Source organism: Homo sapiens, chromosome 4 (genome assembly GCF_000001405.40).
Source record: "Homo sapiens chromosome 4, GRCh38.p14 Primary Assembly".
NCBI lineage: Eukaryota > Metazoa > Chordata > Mammalia > Primates > Hominidae > Homo > Homo sapiens.
The window spans coordinates 42,654,699-42,673,092 of NC_000004.12; the positions used below are offsets into that span (position 1 = coordinate 42,654,699).

Below are 18,394 nucleotides of genomic sequence, written 5' to 3' on the forward strand. Positions count from 1 at the left end.
TTAACACAGAGACTCTTTTTGAGCCAAACCACAAGGTTACAAGTGTCTGAGTCACATAAGAATTGGTTGACCCTGGGTCAGGAGCCAACCATAGTCCAATCAGCTGAGGCCAAAAAGGCTGCAGTTCAGAACAAGGCCCTCTAGGCAGCAGGGCCTCTCTCAAAGGAGAATATTCCTTAGGAAAGGTAGGACTATATTTTTTAGGAAAGAAATATTTCCTAGGAAAGAAAAGTGTGGGCAGAGCAGGCAATGAGCCACAACGCCAGCCCCACAGAGTCATTATTTGTCTTCACCACAGTCCCAAGCACATGCTGAAGCTATAATAAACTGGAATCAACTAATCTCAGGGGAAAGGGTCATTCACTCACCAAGCACCACTATGGCCCTGACACTGTGCTGGACGCACAGGGAATACAAAGATTAAACAAGCAGCAGTCCTTGTTTTCCCAGAGCTCTTAATCCAAATGTGTCACTGAACTAGTTACTTGACCTTGGGCAAATTACTAAACCATATGGGCCACAGTTTCCTCAACTATCAGATGGCACTCCACCTTCACCAACCTCCAGGAGTGTTGTAAGTTTCCATAAAGTAATCTTTGTAAAAGTACTTTGGAAAATACACAAGCCAATCAAGAACAATACTGCAGCCCTGTAATCCCCTCACATGCCACAGGTTTTGCAGTGCTCTCAGACTTTTTCTCTTCCCCTTATTTCCCACAATATAGGACCCATCAATTGCTATTATTTAAAAGAACACCACCAACTATTACCATTCTACTTTCACTATCTCTATGACTAATTTCACTCAGAAGTGTAAAAAAAATGAATTTTTACAGTGTGCATTTTAAAAGTATAATGTATTCAACTGTGTATGTAAAACTATAATGCCCTATATAAGTATTTTTTGGGTATTACAAATGACAGCATGTACCGAATTCCTATGTAGTACACAGGCCAGTTTTGAATCTTGCTTCGTCTTCTCCCCACAGCAGTTTCATTTAATATTTCCTAAATACTGCAATCAGAAAATTTCAGGGACCCTATTTTTACAGGGAGCCCCTAAGGAGAAAAAATGGCCTGTCTCCATCCCTGAAATCCAATTCTCCTAACTTATATATTTTTCTAAAACCACTTCACCACCTGTCTCACATTAAAAGATGGAGGTGGGGAGGAAGAGTGGGAATCAGCGATGATGGCAAGATAGATTTCTGAAAAACATGTTATTCCACCCTCTGCAGGATTCAAGTACAGGTTTATGGGAGAGGACAAACAAACCTTGGGATATTTACAGTCTTGGCTTTGACGCGAGCAAAATCAAATAATATTTACAGAGTGCCTGCCACATGGCAGGCAGGATGTTGAGGGCTCCTCGGAGACGATGAAGAGTCTGGGCCCTCGGAAAGCTTACTTGCTTCTACCCCGGAGCATCTGTTGCTCAGTGTTGACAACCATGGCCATTCAAGAGCTGGCCCCAGGTGGAGCAAAGAAAACAGCTTCCACCTGGCTGAAAAGTCAGCTCAGCTGGCCGAAGTGAGGGTTTCGGGCAAAAGGGAAACACAAAAACGAAACCTCAGACGCGAGCCGGTGGGACTCCGCTGCAGGAGGCAGAATTGCAGAAGCTGTAATGCAGGGAACCCACTCGGCACCCGACCCCGATGAAGGCTCCCCGCGCTTCGAGAGCCAAGGGACTACGGATCAAAGGATCCTGCAGCCGGGGAAAAGCAAACTCGCTTCGCTGGGAGCTCAGATAGGGGGTTGCAAAACGGTGGGCGCCGGAGGCAGGGGCGGCGGGCTGGGGATCTGCTGAGTGGAAATCGAACTGGTGGGGAGGGAGGTGGGCAGGGCGAGTGAGCTCAGTGACTGGGACCTAATGGTCACACTGCGGTGCAAAGCACGCCTCGGGGCTCCCGCGGAGAACACCCATTCGAGGGTACTGGAGCCTGGAAAGGGTCTGCGAGTACACTGGGGGCAGCGCGGGGGGAAGGGTCCCCTAGGGGCCGGGCGCGACAGTCGGACTGCCGCCGGGGAAGAGGTAGGATGCGGTCTCTTCCAGGATAAACACACACGCTCACACACACACTCGCTTCCCGACCCCGGGCTAGCCCCGAGCCTCGGCGGCCCCTTACCTTCGGCGCGCGAGCGGATCTCCGACACGGTCCTCCGCATGGTGGGCATCGCGGCGGCGGCTGCAGGTGGGTCCTCAGCCCGGACTCTGCACCTGTCACGGCGTGGTACACGCGGGAGACCCGGCTGCGCCGCGCAGAGCGCTCAGCTGCAGCCTGGGCCGCGCCGCCGCCCACCTAGGGCAGAGCTGCCGCCGGGCGCGGCCCCCGCACGCCGACAGGAGGAGGAGAAAGGCAGCGGTGGCGGCGAAGGTGGCGGCGCCCGCAGAGCTGGGCGAGCTCTTGCTGCAGCCGCGGAGGGGCGGCTCGGCGAGGGGCGGAGCTCGGGCGCCGGCGCCGGGGGAGGGGCCTGCGGGGCTCGCGCTCCCCCTCCCGCGGCCGCTCAGCAAGGAAGGCGGGTGAGGGGCGGGGAGAGCCAGGGGGAGCCTCCTTCGCCCCGCCCCGCCCCGCTTCGGACCGTATCACGACTCAAAGGGGGGATCAACTCTTAGCCTCCTTAGTCCTCCAGCGTTTTCGCTCCGCCCTGTGGAGTTGGTTGACCCGGTTCCTCCTCCAGGCCACTCGGACTCTCTCACATCTTGCTCAGAAAGGAAAGACTGCTCTGGCTGCTGCATTCTCACGAATCCCCTCCCGCTACCCCTGGCTTTTGATCGCAGTGGAGCCGCCCGTCGTCCGGAAAGAGCTGTTGGGTCTGAGCCGGCAGGCGAAGGCGAAAGGGTCTGGGACTACAAGGTTTAGCTCCCAGCCAGAGCAGGAAAGGAACGACTGACTGTTCGCCATCTGGGTGTAATTCTAACCTCTCTGCACGCCCAGCCCGACTCGTGGCCTGAGCCGCACTTGTCCTCCTGCCTCGCCCACTAGCAACAGGCTGCCAGGTCGGGAGGCCCCTGGTGCCCATGGTGCTCTTGTCCATGGGGCTTGGGTGCATCTGGGCCCCGCCTGCAAGTGGGCCCGGTGCATCTCCCTAGTTCAGGCTCTGCAGCCTGACAAGGCACTGAAATAGCAATTAAGCCAACTAAGTATTGGCCCAGGTGGTTCACAAAAGACTTTTTTTTTTTCTTTTAGTTAAATCTGCATAAAGTTGGATGCAGTCGTTTTATCTGCAAAGGGGAGAGGAGTCTTTGTATAAAATCCATAAATATGTTAAATTTTAATTTGCCGATGTCCTTCAGACTATCATAGCCTCATTACCTTTTATTTTGTATACCGAGATCTATGCTAAAAAGTTGTCAAAACAAATACTTCACCTTCAAGTTAAGATGTAAGGTTTTGTGCTGTTTCTGGCGAGCTGCTGAACTGGCAGGAAAGGAATAAACCAGAAACAATAAATCAGAAGCAATTTGCTTCTTCCCTCATTTCATGCTCTTCCTCCAGCAACCAGCGAAAGAGATCCTCACATAGAGGCCTTTTATTTGAGATCTTTTCACATCCTGAAGGGAGAGAGCTGGAGAGGTTTGACCTGAGAGAGAAGTGATTATTTCCAAGCCTCAGGAAAAAATGAAATAAAATCTGCTAATAGCGTCCTATCTCCATTTGTGGTATTTCTTCTGCTTCCTGCAGGTAGCACTTGCTAATCAGAGCCCTGCCCTACATTAATACTCAGGCAGTCAATGCATATTTATGAAGAGCCCACTCTAGTTGGCTCTGATTCAGAGGCTGGAATTAGAACAAAGAAAATGTATTCTCAGTGTTCATGGAACATCTCAGGGTAAAGCAGGACTCAACAATAAATGAATCTATCTGTTTCAGTGATAGTCATGATTTAAAGTATGGTCTTCTAAACGTAAAAAATGAACACAGCTTTATCTGGACTGTCATCACTGGGCATTTTTATTTCTTCCAAGGCCCAGGGTCTCCTTGTATAAAGCAGGCTTGCTCTGGCTTAATGAACATGAGTCTGAAACAAAATTAAAGGGCTAACATAGCAAGGAAAATAGTAAAAATAATAATCAGCTTTAAAAGTTAGCGAACAGAAACTGGAGGAAATGCAGTGCTTTTCTGATTAACATTTTAGGTGTAATTCTATATGAAGCCATAACCAGTTCTTATTAAAAATCAGTGCGCAGCAGCATGACGATAGTTCATTTATGAGCAATCACCTTTGTAATTCCTAATTAGTCCTCAGATGGGGTTGAGGTTCAATTCTGCTTATTTACAAGTAATAACTGAAGGAACTCCAGAAGTTACCTCTGTTTTGTATAGAGCAATCCATTTTTTACATGTGTGTCCCATTAACTCATCAGCAAAGTTGAAAACGTCATTGATACAGGAAACAAGTCACTTATACAGAGAAGAATATTGCATGATATAGTCTATAGATTACCGTGTGTCCTTTCCCTGATATTATCACTTTATCCATAATGGCAAGCGTATCCCAACTACCTTATTTCTTAAAAACCACTCATTCCTGACTGCTAGAAATCACACATTTTTATTGGTTCAGAACTTGATTGAAGTTGAGGATTGCATTAATCTGCATCTGCTTGATTTTAAGGCTCTCAGATCGTCTCACCTTCTATTGTGTGAGAAGTGCAATGTGCCAGCCCCTGGCAGGGAACTCCGGTTCCAGCCACATGACTTTGTCACGGAATCTGTAGTAGAATTCAGATGTCAGCAAGATCATTTAAAATCTTTCAGGTCATATGACTATACTGCTGATAGACTTAGAAGGAAGAGGGTTATTTAAGGACAACTTCCCTAAGATCCAGGTTTTATCCTCCACAAAATGTACATTGAATACGTAACACGTGTGAGGTGCTGAGCCAGAGAACTAGGTTATAGAGGCACTTAATGAAAGCTAAACAGCAGTAGCAACAAGATGGCTAATATGTCATGCCAAATAGACAAGCAGCAACTATGGACTTTGAGAGAAAGCTAAGTTTCTAAGAGCTAGGGTGATCAACATTGTTGAGCTAGATCTTAAAGTAGGGGTTAATTCTATAGAAATAAAAAGGAGACCTCTTTCTAGTGGGAATGCTTGGTAGTCATTGTTTAATGAATGTTTAAGGTCAGTGGAGTGATAGAGGAGCATATATATTTGGCAGGAACAAAGAGACTGACTTGACTACAGTAAAGGTTTTTCACTGGGAATCCATGTATGGAGACTAAAGGTGCCAGATTTGGGAGAGTCTGCAATGTCATCTTAGGATACTTTTGTTTCCTAATGAGCCTTCTAAATGAATGATGCTAGGAATCCCAATATGCCCACTTTTAAGCGTTTGTGGGTTTTTTTTTGACATTTTTCCCTTGAATTTTGCCACAAATTTTCCTCAACTTTACTAAGTAAATTATGTTCTAATATAATGAACATTGAGTGGCAGATGTTCATTACATTCCCAATAACTGTGCCATGTAGGACTAAATGGGAAAACATGTCCTTAGCTTTCTCTTTGAATTAGGATGGCTGTTTTAAGTCATTAGAGAAAATAAAGTATGTGTAAATACGTCTACTCTGTTCTACTGTCACAGCAGGGTGTGGACATCAATGGAACTTCATTGGCCTACAGACTCAGGTTTAAACTTCATTCAAATCAGAGGTGACTGTCAGGTACCCAGAGTTGGGTAAATGATAGTTGAAATTACAAAGGAAAAAAATACAATAAAAGAACTAAGAGGATGTCACTACTGGAACTAAACAGATTGGAAATCAAGTTTTCATGCCAAGAAAATTAAATAGGAGAAAGAATAGTCTTTTCAACAAAGGATGTTGGGACAACTGGATATCCACATGCCAAAGAAAAAAGTTGGACCCCTGCCTTGTATCATACACAAAAACTAACTCAAAATGGATCAAACACCCAAAATGTAAAAGTTAAATTATCTATAAAACTCTTCAGAGAAAAATAGTAAATATTTATTAACTTAGATAATAGTTTCTTACATATGGCATCAAAAGCACAAACAACAAAAGAAAAAATAGATAAATTGCACATCATCAAATTAAAAACTTTTGTCTGGGCACAGTGGCTCATGCCTGTAATCCCAGCACTTTGGAGGCCCAGGTGGGTGGATCACTTGAGGTCAGGAGTTCGAGACCAGCCTGGCCAACATGGTGAAACCCCATCTCTACTAAAAATACAAAAATTAGCTGGGCGTGGTGGTGGGTGCCTGTAATCCCAGCTACCTGGGAGGCTGAGGCAGGAGAATCGCTTGAACCCAGGAAGCAGAGGTTGTAGTGAGCTGAAATCGTGCCACTGCACTCCAGTCTGGGTGACAGAGCGAGACTTTGTCTCAAAAACAAACAAACAAACAAAAAAACAAAACCAAACTTTTGTGCTTCCAAATACATCATTAAGAAATTGTAAAATAACCCACAGAATGGGAGAAAACTTTTGTAAACCATATAGCTGATTAGCGACTTGTACCTAGATTATATTAAAAACGATTATGAGGCTTGGTGACATGGCTCTTGCCTGTAATCCCAGCAATTTGGGAGGCCAAGTAAGGAGGATCATTTAATCCCAAAAGTTCTAAACCAGCCTGAGCAATGTTGAGACCTTGTCTCTACAAATAATTAAAACATTAGCCAGGCGTGATGGTGCACGCCTATGGCCCCAGCTATTTGGAGGCTGAGGTGGGAGAATCACTTGGGCTGGGGTGGTCGAGGCTGCAGGGAGCTAAGCCATGATCACGCCACTGCACTCCAGCTTGGGAGACAAAGCAGGAACCCATCTCAAGAAAAAAAAAGAACTATTATGATTCACTAATAAAAAGACAACCCAATTTAAAAATGAGCAATGAGCAGAGGATCTGGATAGTTATTTCTCCAAAGCAGATATGCAAATGGCCTATAAACTCATAAAAAGATGCTCAATGTCATTAGCTATTAGGGAAGCGCAAATCAAAAACCTGAGATACCACTTCATACTCAGTAGAATGGCTATGATCAAAAAGATAGATAATTTTGTGTTGGAGAGAATGTAGAGAAGTTGTAGCACTCATATACTGCTGGTGGAATGTAAATGGTGAAGTTGCTTTAGAAAATAGTCTGGCAATTCATTAAATGTTAAACATGGAGTTACCATATGGTCTAGCAATTACACTTTTAGGTATACACCTAAGAGAAAAGTAGATGTCCACACAGAAATTTATACACAAATGTTACATTATTCATAATAGCCAAAAAGGGGAAATAATGCAAATGTCCCTCAAGTGATAAATAAAATGTGGTATATTCATACCATGGTATATTCTGCAATAAAAAGTAATAAAATAACACATGCTATAACATGGATGACTTTGAAAACATGCTAAGTGAAAGAACCAGTTACAAAAGCTCACATATTGTATGATTCCAATTATATGACATGTCCAGAATAGGCAAATCTACACAAACAAAAAGATTAATGGTTGCTGAGGGATGGGGGGTGGAATGGGAGCACTGGGAGATGACAGCTGATGCAGAGTTTCTTTTTAGGGTAATAAAAAATATTGTGATGGATGCACAATTCTGTAAATATACTAATGGATTATATTAAGGTGAATTGTATGTTATGTGAATTATATCTTAATAAAGCTGTTAAAAATTTTTTAAAATTAAATCTCCAAAGGCATCAGCCAAAAAATGACCAAGTCCAGAAAATCCAAAAGAGATATCAGAGGATATTCCTATCTTGGGAGGAATTGCACTTATTAATTACTTGATATTACCTGGTTTGTCATTGTCTGGGACCCCCAAAATTATGAATTGGTCCCCTTTGGGAGAAACTTATAGTCAAGTAGGTGAGAAAAGCTTGCTCACTAATTTGTTAACTCACAATGCAGCTGGAGGTGCTTTGGAAACTCATGTCCTGGGGGTTGTTGGAGACATGGCTGAGAACCCTGCTTGTGATTGAGATTGAGGCATGGAAAGTGGATTACCACACAACCATACAATACATACACTAAGCAGTGCTGGCCACTATACTTCCAATTCTTTTGCAGAAGCACTAAAGAAACGGGTAAATTAATCTTAAGTTTTACATAATTAACATCTTTTAGTTTAACATTTAGGTTGAGATGTAAAATTCTATCTAATAGCAAAGCTGCCTGGTTATTCCAAGTGAAGATTAGGCTTTGGTATCTATAATCATGGGTGTTATATATTAATTTAATGCATAGTGTATGGTTAAAGTATCATTATACTGTTAGACTTGTAAGGGACTTTCTTTGCCCCAGCCTTCTTCATTTTGATTGCTTACTTTGTGTCACCACCTTTATATGCACAACCCTCCAATACACGAGCGAGATGTTTAGGCTCTGTTCCCAGAATGTACCTTCATTCTATGCACATTACTTTATCTCTACCTCTACCACCTGTGTACAAGTCACCATCATCGCTTGCCTGCCATACTTTCTAACTGGTCGCCCTGCTTCTATGCCTGTCTTCCATTCGTCTCACGGGAGCCACCATTATTATTATTGCTTTAAAACACAAACTGGTTCATGTTATTTCTTAAGACTCTTTGGTAGCTTCCCATGGCACTCAGGAAGAAAACCAAATCTTTATGATCCTGCCCTTGCTTGTTTCTCAGACTCAGCTTCTCTAGCCCCTCATTCGTCCACAGGGCTCAGATGATTCCAGCCTACTCCAGCTAATATTGCCCCACTATCCCCAATGCTAGACACTGCCACATTGCCTTATTCTATTTTTCTCATAGTACTTATCACTATGTGGAGTTTTCTTATTTGTTTGTTTACCTGTTTATGATAAATAGTTCTCGCTGCGTTTGTCTTGCTAATTGCAATTTGTTCAACCTTAACAACAGTGTCTGTCATACAGTCCAGGATTCATACATAGTTGTTGAATGAATGAATGTAAATGAACTGGATCCCTCAGATTGGAAACTGGAAATGAGTAGAAGGATAGGTAGTGTTCCATCTGAAGAGATAATAAGTTATGTCCTTCATAAGTATGTTTATTGGGGTATATTATTTTGTGAGAATTATTTGCATGAAATAATTTAGAACATATTTGCTTTGGAGTATTTGATATCAGCAAAACCTTGTGCCACAAAAATTAATGTCAAAATTAAGTGATCAAATTTTAAATATAAACCAATTTCAACCAAAAGTTCTAAATTTGCTGTCATTGAATAATTTAGTCACTTATTCTTACTCATAATGATAAAATCAATACTTTTCCCTCACAACTATGATTCATTTCTCATACCTGTAGTACTACTGTCTTTTCAAACACCTTAGCAAGGTCTTAATACAAAGTTATAGTGTCTTTAATGTTATTATCTTCTGCATATACTGGGTATTTCCAACAAAAAAGTACAACAATGTTTTCTTCAATATAATTGAAAATATTCTGCTCCTGTTTAAATGAAACTAGAGTTTCAAAATGCAGTTTTGTATTATATGAAAGAACTCTTGAAAGAAATTTTTAAAGAATTAGTATCTCCAGGATATTTAAAATCAGGTTCAACTCACACACAATCTTTTGGGAAAAACACTTATTGAGTATTTTATTCAAAAAGTAAATGCACATTCAAAGGGAAATGATCTGCTGTATCATAATATCTAGTGTTGGATCTTACATTCAATAGCGTTATTTCAAACAGATGAAAAGAGATTAATTAAATTATTTTTTTTTTACTTTAAAAGTTTCCTGCATATCAGAGCCAAGATGTGAAAAATTCATACTTAATTAGAAGTGCTGCTTCTTTTCCAAAGGTTACCAAACAGCATTTCAATAATGCTGGTTTCTATACAAAGTATTATTATAAAATAGTCCCTGAACTTGTGTATAAGACAATCAACATAATATTGTCATACATTTAGACATTTTTAAAAGCAGCTTTATTGAGGTAGAATTGATATACAATAAACTTCATGTGTCTAACATGTAGAATTTAAGTTCTGATACATATATATAACTGTGAAGCCATCACTACATTCAAGATAAGAAACATATCCATTCCTTCCAAAAGTTTCCTCTTGACCCATGGAATGGTTCTTATCTGTAACTAGATAAGCTTTTTCATCAGCATTCAGCACAACTTATTGAGTGCCCACCATGTTTTAGATAATGAGCAGGATATTGGAAATTGAGTGGTCAGCTGAAACAGACAGGATCCAGACTGTTATAGAATGTATGTTGCATCAGGAAGACAAATACTAATCAAATTATTATGTGAATAAATATAAAATTACCACGGTATATTGTACTCTGGGCAAGCTAGGCTGTATCTGTATATAATGATTGTATCCCCAAATATTTCTGGGCCTCCACACCTATATCAGAAACCCTTTAATGTTGCTTATAGGGCTTTTGCAATGTATCTAAAAATTTACACTAAACATTTTGTTTCTACTGCATGTTATGTCTTTTATTTTGAAAACAGTATGGTATGATGTTTGATGTATGAAAAGGATAACCAGTGGAGAAAAATATTATTATATAATTTATTTTCTTGATGTTGACCAGAAAGTCAATATTGAAAAAGAAAAAGGGAAGGAAAAAAACCTCCCAAGAAAATCTTGCTTTTTTTTCTCACCATGTCACATTAGGTGTTATTTCAAGGAGACAAAGTCACAATAATGAGGTAAAAAATATTGACGGGGGAAAGTCCAGAATTTTTATTAAAAATCAAGCATAGGCTGGGCGCAGTGGCTCATGCCTGTAATCCCAGCACTTTTGGAGGCCGAGGCAGGCAGATCACGAGGTCAGGAGATCGAGACCATCCTGGCCAACATGATGAAACCCCATCTCTACTAAAAATACAAAAATTAGCTGGGCATGGTGGTATGCACCTACAGTCCCAACTACTTGGGAAGTTGAGGCAGGAGAATCGCTTGAACCCAGGAGGCAGAGGTTGCAGTGAGCCAAGATTGTGCCATTGCACTCCAGCCTGGCGACAGAGTGAGACTCTGTGTCAAAAAATAAAAAATAAATACAAAATTTAAAAAGCATAGTAAATGAAATAAAGACGATTATCAAGTACAATTTTGTAATTCCATAATTCCATGACTTTTAATTTAGAAAGAATGCCAGGCTTAAGTAAGATCATTTTCTGATGAAATAAGCTATAGCTTTCAAATATAAAATATTTGCCAATTGTGTTTGAGCCTCTTAGATGATATGGCCCCTGTTCAGCGGTTCATAATTCACTTTAGTGTTTAGTAGATTTATTGGAAAATCACAACTTTTTTTTCTCTGACCCCAAAAATCTCAGAAACAACATCTGCTGTAAAGAGGGATTGTTTATCACTGTAGCTTCTTGCCAACTTTGAACTGTGAGGAAATCCACCAAATGGAGAAAGAGAATGAATACTTAATTCAGGATTACATTTAGGTATTTGTCCCAGAGAGCAGAAGCTGGGGTCAGGGGCAGACACTTTAAGGAAAAGATATAAAGGAACTAAATGGAGGTTTGTGTAAGCTGGAGACACTGAAGGTATGAGCACAGGTGAACTCGTGCCGGGTGTGGGAGCAGAGTCTACACCTCTTGTATAGATCTGCTTGTCTGTGCCAGACTGCAAATGGCAGCTTTTTTCTCCCTGCCCGTATCCTCCTGTCGTCTGTTTTACGTTTGGTCTAAACACCTGAACACTGACCTTAGCCTATTAAATTGGAATCTCTTCTCTCTTCTTCCTGAATCCATGGTATTCTGATTCCAATTTGCCTCCCCAGCTTCAGCAGCCATATATTCTCTAATTGAAGCAGCTGCAATCTGTTGCCTCGTGTAGCCACTCAGTTTCCCATGCCCACTGGTTTAATTCTGCACCTAGTCCTGGCCCCTTTTGGCTTCCTCTGGGTTGTTCTTGATCTAAAACTGACAGTGCAGAAGGCAAAGGGAGACCTGTAGGTTGGGAAATAGTATTAATAAAAAATTTGAATAGGTACATGGGAGCCAGATTATGAAGAACCATGCAAACCAGCAAAGGTGATAGGAATGAATGCACAGAACAAAAGGTAGTCATTGTAGGGAGGCTCTGGGACACATGATAACCTTGTACTTTGAAAAGGTTTTTGTGGTGATAATAGAATATGAAGCATGGATTAGAGGTAGAGAAACCAGACTGGAGATGATAAAGGTCTGTTCAATTAACAGAGGAAATGGTGATTTTAAAAAGTTAAGTTTGAATATAATATGAGGCATTTATAGTAATACTTCTGGGACTATGGAGAATAAAGGACAATAGTCTATCTGCAGAAAAAACAGATACTCTTCCCTCTCTAGTTACAGATGTAAGTATAGATATAGATATACTTGAACTTTTTAGATGTTGGGTTAATTTCCTACTGAGTCAGAAATTCTGACGTTTGAGGAGGGAAGAGTACCTGACTTAAGGAACAGAACTGAAATCAGAAGATGTGGGTTTGGATCTCAGCTCTGGAACTTTTGAGTGGTTTAATCATGGGAATGTCATTTGAAGACCTTTCTGAACCTCAGATTAGCTCAGTGGGTTAACATGCGGGCTCTGCAGTCAAACTGCTAGACTCTGATCCAGGTTATACCACTTGCCAGATGCTTCATTTTGGAGAAGTTACCAACTTTTCTCTGCCTCAGATTCCTCATCTGTCAAATGGGGATAATTATAACGCCTATTTCATAGGATTATTGTGAGAAGTACCTGAGATATTTTATTGCAACATACAATACAAATTTTAGTTGCTTTTATTTATTTATTTAGAGTCTCATTCGGTTGTCCGGGCTGGAGTGCAGTGGTGTGAGCTTGGCTCACTGCAACCTCTGACTCCTTGGTTCAAGCGATTCTGGTGCCTCAGCCTCCTGAGTAGCTGGGATTACAGGCGTCTGCCACCATACCTGGCTAATTTTTGCATTTTTAGTAGGGACGGGGTTTCAACATTTGCCCAGACTTGTTCAAACTCCTGAGCTCAAGTGATTTGGCCTCCTCAGCCTTCCAAAGTGCTAGGATTTCAGGCCTGAGCCACCGTGCCCTACCTGCCGTTATTATTTTAATTTAGTACATCCAACATTTTTCCTACTCTGTAAGTGACATAAAATTAACGATTATAGTTACTAGAGGCATTTTCTTCAGTCATGCCTTTCTTGGTAAAGTCTAATAATGCAAGTTTATGTAATCTATCATTTGTATGACAAAAGGCATCAATGTTAGATATTTAATTGTGATGGAGGATTCTATTTACTGGTTTCAAGAAACTTGCTGTAAAAATGCTCATTAGTAATATTTAAAACAATGTGCCTCTTTGGGTCATTATGTAAATGAATAAATATAAAATCACCACTGTATATTGTACTGTTGGAAAGGTAGTCTACAAATGTATATATTGATTGTATCCCCAAATATTCAACTGCACATAATGGAAAATCCCAAAGGTTCAATTGCACATAATGGAAAATCCCAAAGTAGCAGTAATTTAAACAAGGTAGAGGTTCATTTGTCTCTCATATAAAAAAAGTCTGAAGATATCTCTACACTGCCTTCAGAGATCCGGAGACTTCTATTTGTACTCTGCAATGCTAACACATAGCTTCCATCCTCAAGGTCACCTCATAGTCCTAGCACACTGAGTCAGATTCTTTCAGCATCTACTTCTGAAGCCTCAGATAAAAGTTATGTTCAGCTCTTATTGGCTCATCACCTGGCCATGTGTAGCAGATAGGGAGGATGGGAAATTAGTTATTTATTCAACCAGTAATGTACCTAGATAAAAATTTGGGATTCTGATACTTAAGGGAAGGAGAGAATGGATTAGCAGGTAGGCAGCCAGCATTCTCTGCCAAACTTTTCAGTAAATCTCAGAAATCTTTCTCAAGGTTGCATTATGAAAATTCTGGAGCTTTCCATGGACGAAATAATACATTTTGTCCAAATTGTGTTTTTAAATGTAAAAAAAAACCAGAGTTTGCATCATCCTAGAAACAGGTTACATGAAACAGGGTTTTAAACTGCTGACACTTAGCAAAGAACTTGTTAAATGTGAACCGAAATAGTATTAAACGGAGTACAATAGAGAATAGAGGCTGAAATTAATTTTGTGAGGTAGTAACTTATTAAGGTGACTTTCTGGATAAAAATAAATGGAATCTTGGAGGTGAATAAGATACTAACAAAGCAATGGATGAAGTAAAACGAAAAGATTTCTTTTAGTTTTTCCTTTGTTTATACAAAAAAAAGGGAAAAGTAAAAAAATTATTGATTTTTGAAGAGACAAGTTCCATAATGGTATTTTGGGAACATCATCTCTTAGCTATGCTCAAACTACACCGTGAGGGAAAGCGCAGAAGGAGAGCCCGGTTAGGATGCGCCTGTGGCCATCTTGTCAATGGAAGTTTTCTGTACTTATGTGTAGTTTTGGGGTCCCAAAAGGATTATCCAAAGCAAACTTCATTTTAAAAATTTAATATTCAATTTATTAAATTTGTATGTAACAAACATAGCTCTTCTTTAAGCTTTGAAATTTAACTTAATTATTTTAGTATACTTAGACATCTAAGTAGATTTAACTTAATTATTTTATTGTACTTAGACATCTCACAAATTTTGAAAATTACTTTTGAAGCGGTGTTTAATTAATGTTTGATTCCATTTATAAACTTAAACCCCCTTAAACATTTTAAACTATACTGACAAAGTTGATACATTTCCTTTTCATATTTAAGTGCTTTAGTCATCTGAAAAAGCCTTCTCAGTACTGAAATAACTATCATAATACGATAAATTTAAATTATAGAAGATATGTCTTAGGCTTTTATAAACTCTCTAATACTGATTAATTTTGACATAGAATCTTTGTCAATTAGTCTCATCACTTTAATTTGGAATTACACAGATAATTTTAGTAACAGGTCAAATTCTCCTAAATATAGTGACTATTTCTAAACCTTACTAAAAATATTAGTACTATAAGTTTGATTTACTTAATCCTATATATGTATATGTAATTCTACAGGTTCACAGCTATTGATTCTCTTGGAAACAATTATGCTATCCAAACAATTTCAGGGTTAGCATGCTAAGCACTTTCGGAGGTTATACTTTTAGCTGGCTGAGGTTGAATGTTAACCAGAGATGTCATCTGAGACATTTGAGCTCTAGCATTACAGATATCCTTGAAAATTTTATGACATTTTTGGCTGTCAATGTGCCTGAGTCCTCCAGATTCAAGTCATCCATTACCTAATACTTTTCTCTACCACATTTGGTCCATTTGGTTGATTTCAACTAGTTTATTACTGTGTCACCCCACTCTAAACTATTTTCATATTTTTTCTTATTAGGACTGGCAGGTATAGTTCTTTTAATGACATTGATTTGGATTTTGTTTACCTCCCAGTGCTTCCTCTAACTGGTACCTTTCAGGTTAAGGGCTAAGCTTACAGCCTGAATGAGGGTGACAGCAACTGGGTGGAAACAAAGTGCAAAATGGAAAGGTATTAGGAAGGGAGAATAGACAGTAAACACTAAGGTTGGGGATGGATTCCAGGAAGAGGAGACCACGTTGAACAAAGACCCAGAGGAAAGGTGGAGCTTGGCAGCTCCAAATCCTCACTCCATATCTGCCCACTCCCAACATCCCCAGCAGTTATTATGGATGGAGGGTGATGTCCTCTCCTGCTGCATTCCTGTGGGAACACCCAACCTAAAATATTTATCTAGACTAAGGTATAGAAAATCTGTAATTTCAGAGCTTCCTTGGGTCTTTTGGTGGCCAGAATTTGCTAAGCAAGGACAGACAGCTCTGTTTCCTGAAGAGATAGATTTGTCTTACCCACCAATAAGCCTCTCCCTGTGTTTGGAAACTAGAGGATGAATATGAGAGTAGTAGTTGGAATGAACATTCGTAACAAAAAGTGCTGTCTCCTGGCTGGAAAAGGGAGTGTGTGAAGATCATTCAATTTTTATAGAACAATCTCCTCTTCAGTACGAACCTATTTGGTAGTTTCTGAAAAATCATTCCTTGTTCTTTTGCATGTGTGTGTCAAGAAAAGAGATATGCCAGAATGATACAATAATTATTTTCTAACTGAGCAGGAAGGATGGTGAGACATGTCACACCAATGGAAGGACCTCATCTCAGGCAGGTTCTTAATATGCCACCCTCATCCACTCTAGCCCCCTCCCTCTGTTTATTTCATTCTAGTCATAATTACCCAGTCTCTGAGCACTAGCTTATTGAGTTCAGTGTATTGCACTGGTCTCAAGATGGTAAGGGTTTTCTGGAGTGGGAAAGGGGTTGGCAGTGAGAAGCTGTGAGAACATTTGTGGGGAAAAGATGATTGAACAGTAGGACAGGGAAGCAAGTCTAGAGACTGGCATGTGCCCTCAAGGAGAGTCTCTGTGAACAGGGTGAACTATTTTTTGTGGTGACATCATATTTACCCTAAAGTTTTGCATTTCAATTTTAGAATTTTGACATAATTTCAGATTACAGAAAAGTTGCTAGGATCCAACAAAGAACATTTTTACTATACGGTATTTGCTTTATTCTTCTCTCTTTCTTTCTCTCTATTGTTTTTTCGGAACTGTTTGGGAGAAAGTTGCTGGCATGAATCCTGTTACTCCTAAATACTTCAAAGTGTGTTTTCCTAAGGCAAGCACATTCTCTTACATAACCACAACACACTGATTAAAATCAGGAATTTAATATTAAAACAATACTATTATCTCATTTACAGACCTTCTTCAGATTTTATCTTTTGTTCCAATAATGTTCTCTAGATCATGTGTTGCATTCAGTTGTCATGTCCTTTTAATCTCTTTCACTTGGAACAGTCTTCCTTTGAATTTCATGATATTGACTTTTTTGAATAGTACAGGCCATTTGTTTTGTACACTACCCCTCAGTATGGGGTTGTCTGATGTCACCTCGTGGCTTTGGCAGGAAGTCATGTTGCGTTGCTGTCAGTGCATCCTACAGGCACAGGATGTGAATACCCCTTTCCTGTTGATGTTAACTTTGACCACTTGGGTTAAGATGGGACTGACAGGTTTGTCGACTGTAAGGTTACTATTTATCCTTTGGTAATTAGTGTTATCTGGTAGGGAGATTAGTTTTACATTGTTAATCAGTCTTACATTGTAATTTCACTCTGTGTATTTGGAACGAAAATTTTGTTGTTGTTTCTTTTACTTTTTAATTTTTCTTTCCCCTAAAGGTGTCTTACTTGTCTACTTGGTTATTCTCAGTGCTGCTGCAGGTACCTACCCTTACATCTTTGTTGGCCCAAGCCTGCAACCCTGTCTGCACTGGCAACTGCCCATACTAGCAGAGTGTTGATGGCAGAGGGAGGAAGCCACAGCTCCCATTGCTCCCTCATCTCTTCAACCTAGAACACAGCCATAAAAACTACATGAAATGTACTTCACTGAGAGTTTTGGGGGTTACCAAAAGAAATTCTATAAGATGGAAAATAAGAAGATATTCCCTTTAAATTCATGACACTTACAAAAAGTTTGTAAACTATACAAAGGCATAGTTTACCTCATACCTTTGTTACAAAAGACATTGAGGCAATTTGTTCTGTAGACCTTATATATACCTCTTCTGTTATGTGGGAAGCTTAGTTCCTGCATGAGATCAGATAAATAACAAAACCAGTATTATCACACTTGAAAACTAATATTAGTTCTTTCATATTGTTACATATCCAGGAGAAGCTCAAGGTAATTTAACTTTTAGTGATTCTTTGCACACAAGTTGGATATCAAAGCTGGAGAAAATTTTCTCATTGAGAAAAACTCTTATGATTGGTGTAAATGTACAGCAATAGTGAAAGGAAACATTTTACTCTGACCTACAGGAAATCTTATTGTTTCTAGTTTTTCTTTACAGAGTAGACAGTGGAAAAAATTATAGAGTAAAATATAGATATTTCCTTTTGAATGTCTTTTTCCAGACATATTAGCTAAGATGTTCAGGGAGCGTGTGTGAGAAATGAGATGGCATTTTCAGTAAGAGCTAACGAGAGGAGTAAGCACACATTGAAATTTCCATTCTGCCAAAAACCTGGTCCAGTGAATATTTCATCTTAAATAATAAGAGGAAAAGCTAATCTCACATTCTCTCAATTTCATTTTAGATTGTTTTCTGGCATTGGGAAGTATAGAGAGAGTTTTCTTTTTCTTTTTTTCTTATCACAACACTGTATGTCTTAAAAATACTGGCAATTGAGAGTGTTGAAATAGTGAGTGAATTATTTGGATTGGTCACCTTGAAGAAGCTGAAAGAACTTGGCAGGTATTCAAAAACTGGAGATTGAATGAGTTAAGGGTAAAATTGATCTGTCTTGCAGCTTTCTGTCTAAAAAACTGCCTCCTTTTTTGCAGTCTTGGAGTCTAAACTCTCTTGTTTC

At 39.9% G+C, this 18,394-nt stretch overlaps 1 protein-coding gene and 1 long non-coding RNA gene across 12 annotated transcripts in view, besides 3 other annotated features; one reads left to right on the top strand and one right to left on the bottom strand.

The window, feature by feature from the left end:
* ATP8A1 (ATPase phospholipid transporting 8A1) overlaps positions 1 to 2,407 on the bottom strand; it is a 248,733-nt gene extending 246,326 nt beyond the window's left edge. For all 11 annotated transcript variants that reach the window (NM_001400027.1, NM_001400026.1, XM_047449508.1 and 8 more), the window contains exon 1: positions 2,127 to 2,407. Coding sequence is in view for 10 of the 11 variants with exons in the window: in NM_001400026.1 (NP_001386955.1) it covers positions 2,127 to 2,175 (49 nt within the window). In the remaining variant the exon portion in view is untranslated. The remainder of the gene's footprint in view (positions 1 to 2,126) is intronic.
* Positions 1,594 to 1,643: an enhancer, noted in NCBI's record as "active region_21522". NCBI's record gives its function as "activates an Ori minimal core promoter by ATAC-STARR-seq in GM12878 lymphoblastoid cells {active_cell/tissue: GM12878}" and the evidence as "EXISTENCE:reporter gene assay evidence [ECO:0000049][PMID:35858748]".
* Positions 2,134 to 2,603: a silencer, noted in NCBI's record as "silent region_15396". NCBI's record gives its function as "represses an Ori minimal core promoter by ATAC-STARR-seq in GM12878 lymphoblastoid cells {active_cell/tissue: GM12878}" and the evidence as "EXISTENCE:reporter gene assay evidence [ECO:0000049][PMID:35858748]".
* Positions 2,634 to 2,843: an enhancer, noted in NCBI's record as "active region_21523". NCBI's record gives its function as "activates an Ori minimal core promoter by ATAC-STARR-seq in GM12878 lymphoblastoid cells {active_cell/tissue: GM12878}" and the evidence as "EXISTENCE:reporter gene assay evidence [ECO:0000049][PMID:35858748]".
* On the top strand, positions 2,825 to 3,649 carry ATP8A1-DT (ATP8A1 divergent transcript). Its single transcript, NR_186688.1, has one exon. It is a non-coding gene; the product is annotated as an ATP8A1 divergent transcript (long non-coding RNA).
* The last annotated feature ends 14,745 nt before the right edge of the window (positions 3,650 to 18,394 follow it).